The sequence below is a fragment of the Homo sapiens genome, chromosome 18, assembly GCF_000001405.40.
Source record: "Homo sapiens chromosome 18, GRCh38.p14 Primary Assembly".
Classification (NCBI taxonomy): Eukaryota; Metazoa; Chordata; class Mammalia; order Primates; family Hominidae; genus Homo; species Homo sapiens.
This window is the reverse complement of record NC_000018.10, coordinates 51336729-51344273: the sequence shown is the minus strand read 5'-3', so window position 1 is coordinate 51344273 and position 7545 is coordinate 51336729.

The following is a 7545-nucleotide window of genomic DNA, read 5'->3' as shown; positions in this document are numbered from 1 at the left end:
TGAGAGAAACCACTGGGAGCAATACTTTCCAGTGCCCTAAAGCCAGCCTAAGACCAAGACCCGATTCTGGCCACTGAGGCCAGGGACACTCATCAGGTTCCTGTTGATGGGTGCATGGGAATATCACTGAGCCAGCATCCAGAAGCTCACCAATGATCCAGGTCTATTATGAGATGCAGCCAAGCCTGGTCTGTGCCTCAGGTCATCAGAGGCCACATAATTTGACAACGGTGGAGATACTTCCCATCGTCCCTTAGTCCAAGGACACCAATAGACCCCTCTTAGAAAGGAGGATGCTATGGAAAGGAGCTCCGTAGCTGTGTCTTCAGGCCACCCTGGATACCCAAGATGTCCAGAGAAGAGAGACTAGAGTGGACTAATAAGCATCAAATGATTATTAGTAAAGCATGGAAAAACACTCACAGGACACCCAAAGGGCAACGAGGGACCTATAGGCAGTCTGTGTGTTTATTGCAATTTCTCATTGCCTAAAGCAGTAGGCTTCAAAATTTTGTAATGGAAAACCAATTCAGTAAAAATTCTGAAAGCTCATTCCCTAATTTTATATATATATGCATATATATGTACTTATTTATAGATTATGCACATATGTAATTGTTCTAATAATATATATATTATAACACTCGTTTTAAAAAAGATATTTTTGAAAAGTATAATAAAGAAGCCAATAACATTTCTACTAAATATCTTGCTGAATTTACTATTGGCCAATATACATTTAGGTTAAGGTTTGACAGTAGCAACAGTGGATATAAATTCGTATTTTAAATAATCTTCTCGATTTCTATTTTGGGGGCCAACTTCTTGTGAGATGATTCCATTGCCACTGTTTTTACCTCGTGTGGGGTTTGACAAAGACCTCGCACTAGAAATAGAGGGGTTTGCTCTGCCATCTGCCCATACTCTGCCTGTTGTTTGTATTAGTGCTACCTTCAATCTGCAGTTTCATTTCAGAATTCTTTCAGCTACTTGTCAATTTTGTGCAGGTTAAATGAGATATGACCAAATAAAACAATCTGTGGATACATTTAGCCAGGCAAATGTACAGAAAAATACACTAGAAACAGGCAAAGGAGTGGAGTGGAGCCTCTGTTTATCCTTCAGAATACTTCAAGTCCTGTATGACTCATGGCTGCTCACCATATGGACTAAATGAGGTGAAGGTGCAATGTCACTCTGTAGATAAATACCAGGCAATGTTTCACTTGCTTTTTTAGCATACATAAATAAGTTTTACTATTTTCCCACAGTCTAGTGAGTCATTTGCCACAGCCCCACCCACTTTGGAGATTCCATCACAGGAATCACTGCCTAGATGCTGGCAGTGGCTGTCACCTCCCAGCACCTCTCTCCTTCTCACCTGTCCCACAGCTGCCATGACCAAATCTTTGTTACCTATGCAATAAAGTCCAGATTCTTTCACATTTACAGAAACTGTTGCACCAGACTGCTGTATCTTTCCAGCCTTATCCCTTTCACCTTTTCCCACATAAACTCTACAGCACCAGCAATCACTTCTCCAGCAGTCCAGATTCTTTTAGGTCTTTGCAATTGTTCTTTTCTCCTCCAGGAGTGTCTTCCTTTAACTTTGCCTTCCTAAAAATCTCCAACTCATTTTTCCACCCCCAGGTCACATTCTACCCACTCTGTTATCTTTGGAATCATGTCCACGAATTCAAAGTACAATGACAGTCACATTCTCTTTCCTTTTTCTAGTTAATTATTTTAACACTCACCTTCCGTTTGAGACTTCTCCATAACCTTGTTTTTTTTCTAACAAATCAAAGGGGCTAATTCATCCCTGAAAAGGGCAATCCACTGCCAAGCCAAGTAGAGAGAATTGGAGTCTGATCCTTCCTGCTGCTGTTACCTCTCCTTGCCTTGTTGTGTTGTCCTGGAAACCTTGGATACTTGTTCACTCCATACACATTTTACAGCCACTTGTCCCCTGTACACAATCCAATGAATTCATGACCATGTTGCTGTTATGCTCCAGCTGGGCCAAGCCCCCTCAGACGCCCCACACTTGGACTCCAGGGGCACCTTCCTTATGTTCACACCCATACAATTATCCACTGCCCCAAAGCTCAAATCCTCCAAAGGTGATGGGTCCTGAGAGGCTTCCAACTTCAGTGATACGCTGAGTCAAACCAGGCTCCCAATACACTTGGCTCTTTGGATTGAAACCAGTCACAAGTATGGACAACTCTTTTCTTCACAGCAATCCTGCCACCCATTCCTGCCACCCACTCCTGCCACCACCACTAGTTTTCTAACTACCCTAGGCTCCTTTAGCAAACTGATTATCAATTTTCTTTTTTTAGACCAGGTCTAACTCTGTTGCCCAGGCTGGAGTGCAGTGGCATGATCTCAGCTCACTGCAGCCTCAAACTCCTGGGCTCAAGCGATTCTGCCACCTCAGCCTCCCAAGTAGCTGGGACTACAGCCACCACGCCTGGCCACCTTCTGAACTACCAATTCTGCATCCCAAGCAGTGAGACAACTTCTGCAGAGCCCCTCACAAAAACAAGAGTCTTGCTCCACCTTTGTCTCCGAGCACCTTTAAACTGGAGCAGGGCCCTTGTTTCAATCAGCTTAAACTGCTGTGACAAAGGACCACAGACTGGGTGGCTTAAGCAACAGAAATTTACTTTCTCACAGTGCTGGAAACTGGATGTCCAAGATCATCGTGCAAGAAAATTCAGTTTCTAGTGAGGCCTCTCTTCCTGGCTTGTGACAGCCACCTTCTTGCCATGTCATCAAATGGCCTCTTCTCTGTACACATGGACAGCAATCTCTGACGTCTCTTCCTCTTCATATAAGAACACCAGTCCTAGGCCCAGTGCAGTGGCTCACACCTGTAACCCCAGCACTTTGGGAGGCCAAGGCAGGCAGATCACCTGAGGTCAGGAGTTCAAGACCAGCCTGGCCAATGTGGTGAAACCCTGTCTCTACTAAAATAACAAAAATTAGCCAGGTGAGGTGGTGTGCACCTGTAATCCCAGCTACTCAAGAGGCTGAGGCAGGAGAATCACTGGAACCCAGGAGGCAGAGGTTGCAGTGAGCCGAGATCATGCCACTGTACTCCAGCCTGGGCAACAGAGCGAGACTCTGTCCCCCCCAGAAAAAAACACCAGTCCTGTCAGATTAGGGCCCTACCCTTATGACCTCATTTAACCTTAATTACTTTCCTAAAGGCCCTACCTCAAGATCTAGTTACTTTGGGGGGTTAGGACTTCAACACAGGAATTTGTGAGGGGACACAAGTCAGTCCATAGCAGCCTTCAATATCTGTATTAAGTTCTCCCTAGATTGAAAGCAGCTGGCAGCATACTGGACTGAAGAAAAAAAGAAATTAACCTTCAAAAGAACATCAATCCCCACCTCACATATGTAAGGCTTTCCTGACCACCTCAACATGCAGCCCACAAAGAATTAGATACTCCGTCTTCTATGTGGCCATACCACTTGCTTCATAGGTCGTGTTATGGGTGGAACTGTGTCCACCCAAAAATTCATATCTTGAAGTCTAACCCCAGTCCCTCAGAATGTGACCGTATTTGGAGACCACACCTTTACCAAGATGATTAACTGAAAATGAGGTCATTAGGTGGCCTCTAATCCAGTATGACTGGTGTCCTTAGAAGAAGAGGAAATGTGGACACAGATACACACAGAGAAAAGATGAAGTGAAAACACAGGGAAAAGATGACCCATCTACAGGCCAAAGAGAGAGAACTCAGAAGAAAACAGCCCTACCAATACCTTGATCTCAGATTTCTAGCCTCCAGAACTATAAGAAAAAATGTCTGTGGTTTAAGTCACCCACTCTGTGGTTACTTACCTTGCTACAACTTAACTTGTTACTGCAGCTCTGGCAGACTAGTATGGATCAGTTTTCTCTATTTGGAAGTAAACTTCTGAACAACTAGGTTATATGCACCTTTGTAATTTCTAGGGTCTTGCACAGTGCCTGGTCTATTCTAAAGCCTCCTGTATGTTTGTTGATAAAAAGAGGGAAGGATGGGGCGGGAGAGAAGGAGGGTGATGGGGCCCTGAGTCCTGGAAATTGCCACCTGTGTTCTGAGTTTTTAAAGCTGTATTCTACTCATGCTGCAAGGAATCACCTGGCAATTTATGATTTTTTTCCTCTTCTCTGGCTTCTGTCCATATTTACATAAATTATGGGTGAGTCAGAACATGTGGAGGGCTTACTGTGGGCAGAGAACTATGGTAAAAATACAAGAGATGGCTATAGCAGGGTCTAGCAGTGCTGTCCAACAGAAATACAATGTGAGCCACATACGCAGCTTTAAATTTTCTAGTGGACACATTAAAACAGTTTAAAAGGAAGTAGGTGAAATTAATTTTAATAATACTTTTTTATTTAACCCAATATATCCAAAATATTATCAGTTCAACATATAAGCAATATTTTTAAAATATGAGATATTTTACCTTCTTTTTTTTTTGTCTTCAAAATCCAGGATGTGTTTTATACCTACCACAAATTCTGCACTGTAATTCTGACTAGCCACATTTCAAGGGCTCACAGCCCACATGTGCCTTGTGGTGACTGTATTGACCAGCACTAGAGGGCCAATGGTTAAGGACACAGACTTTGGACTCAGACAGGCATAGGTTTGCATCTTGATCCATCACTGACTAACTCAATTTCTCTATGCCTCAGTTTCTGCATCTTTAAAATGGAGCTAATACTACCACCACTTAGGGCTAATATGAGGATCAAATGAAATAATCTGCCTAAAGCCCTCAGCAGACTGTCTGACGCAGCAGCTTCATGGCCACTGTGTGCCAGGCTCTCTGCTATGTAATTTACCTGGTTAATATTGAAGAGATTGTACCAGTTACTTTTAATGATTAGTGCTGAGGTGACAAGAGCTGAAGCAATTTCTCCATCAGACAGCAGATGAATAATCTCCCTCTAACTTGGTTTTTCCACCTATAAAATAGAAATAATGAGTAAATCTGCCACTAAAAATAAAAAGGACCTTCCTGTTTAAGTAGCATGATACCTCAAAATGTTAGCTTGAGATTCTTCGGCTTACAACACTAGACCACAGCAATAAAGACAAAAGTTACAGCCTTCTCGACTTTGCATGTACTTTCTGATTAGTTCACTTTAATACTCCCCTAGGCACAGAAATAATTCTGGGAGTTGAAATCCCTCAAGCTGACCTGAGTCCTATAGTGCTTTTTTTTTTTTTTTTTTAAGAAAGTGATCTTCTCCAAATTCATTCAGCCACTATTTCTGAATTATGAGTGCATAAAAAGAGATACACCTTTTCGTGTGAGGTCTCATAATTCACCCTCACCTAACACAGTTGATAAATGCAAGCAGGCAACTCCCTGTTAAAATATATGGAATAGATATATTACTGTATCTACTGTATATTTTCATTTTGGCAGGCAATGAGTTCTCCTTCACCTTATGATAATAAATTGCAAAACCTCATCCATATCGTAACATTAAATAACAGGATACAAATAAATCATTGTAATGATATTTGTTCCTTGTAACTACTTTCAGTTTTGGATCTCAAAGCCCTTTACTAACACAAATTAATTAGCTCTTGCGCCACAGGAGATTAGTTTTAATATACTGCTATAAATTATAATACGGGAATACCATAAAAATTATTCATATACACTCATTTCTTTATAAAGGTTCAAAGAACTAAAACCAGTTGTTCTCAACAGGAGGCAATCTAGTCCCCCAGAGGGCATTTGGCAATGTCTAGAGATACTCTTGATTGTCACAACTGGGCAGGGAGGGAGGTGCTACTGGTTCTACTGGGTAGAGACCAAGGATGCTGCTAAACATTCTATAATGACCAGGACAGCTCCTCACAAGAAAGAATTATCTGGTACAAAATGTCAATAATGCCAAGACTGAGAACGCCTAATCTAAAGAAACATGTTCTTCTTATAGGGAGAGTAGGAGATTTCTTTGTTTCTTACTTTGCTAAAGATATTTCCTCAATTCATAGGTGAGGTGATTGCCACTGAGAAGTAGCCCAACTAGATTCAAACATCAACTCATTAACTATGAAACAAAAATCTAAGACAAGAACTGACATTTGAGAAGACCAAGTTACTAGATAAAAATGTCTCATAATCAACCAATCAGAGAATCAGCAAGAAAGGAACACCCACCCCCAACACCTCTCCTCAAAAAAGAAATGACCCATTGGCTTCACACAGAGGATCACTTTTTCCATATACCTATACTACATTCCTGACCACAATTAGCTATCTCAAAATGTTTGTCATTATTTATATGAGGACCAGGCACAGGAGTGGGATGTTGCTGATGTAGGGCAAACCATGCCGTTGCACAAGTTCTATTGATGGCAGGACAAGAAACACCTTCAGGTTACAATGCTGAGCACTTTTTGAAGAAGACTAAGGAGCGGTTGATATGGATGTGTGTGTTTGCGTGTGTGTAATTCTTTCTGATTTCTTCCTTTCTGTCTTTTCCTATGTGAAATACTGGTTCAACATCTTGCTAGTGGATGTGAAAGTTGCCTTGAATTTTCTTCTCGTGTAGTTGCAAATCACCTCCTCCACATTTTCCAACTTTCCTACTTGATTATGTGGGGAAATAGATGATACATTCCTGAGGTAGACCATAAATAAAATAGACAGTAGTCACAGGAGACTTTAGATATTTGGAAATGGAAATCTCATTCAAATAAAAACAGAACATATGACTCATTTAGCAGTCTGTCCCCCAGAGAATAAAAGAAGCTGCTAAAGAAACTGCTGTTCTGCACCTAATTCTTGCTCATGGAAAGAAAGCTATTGGCAAAATAAAAGTGTGGTATTGTTGAGGAAAAAGTATCCTGTCATTTTAGAACCATAAAAGAAACTTTGGGCATAATCAGATATAAGCCCTAGCATTTTCAATTTCAGAAAGTTAAGAAAAGATGATTATAATTCCATGATAAAAGATTTTTTTAATGGGGTCTGGTTTTTGCCAAGGCTGGAGTGCAGCGGCACAATCTTGGCTCACTGCAACCCCCACCTCCCGGGCCCAAGCAATCCTCCTACCTCAGCCTCCCAAGTAGCTGAGACCACAGGTGCACGCCACCATGCCCAGCTAATTTTTTTGTATTTTTGGTAGAAACAGGGTTGCACCACGCTTCCCAGGCTTGTCTCAAACTCCTGAGCTCAAGCTATCTGCCCACTTCAGCTTTCCAAAGCGCTGGGATTACAGGCGTGAGCCACCATGCCTGGCTCCATGATAAAAGATTTTGAAGAAGACATGGCTCACAAAGACTGGAAAGTTCTCAGAAATGCTATTCTGACTTCATAATTAGCAAATTATCTTAATGAAGAAGGAAAGATAAAAACATTCAGAGAAATCAAAGTATTTCTAAAGAAGGTGAAGTTCTAAAGGAGAAATATAAAAGATGAAAGGACATATCAGATGTAATCTTGTTGACCCTATGGTGCTTGCAAACAAAGCTGAATGTGTATAGGGCTTTCAGGAGGGGAATT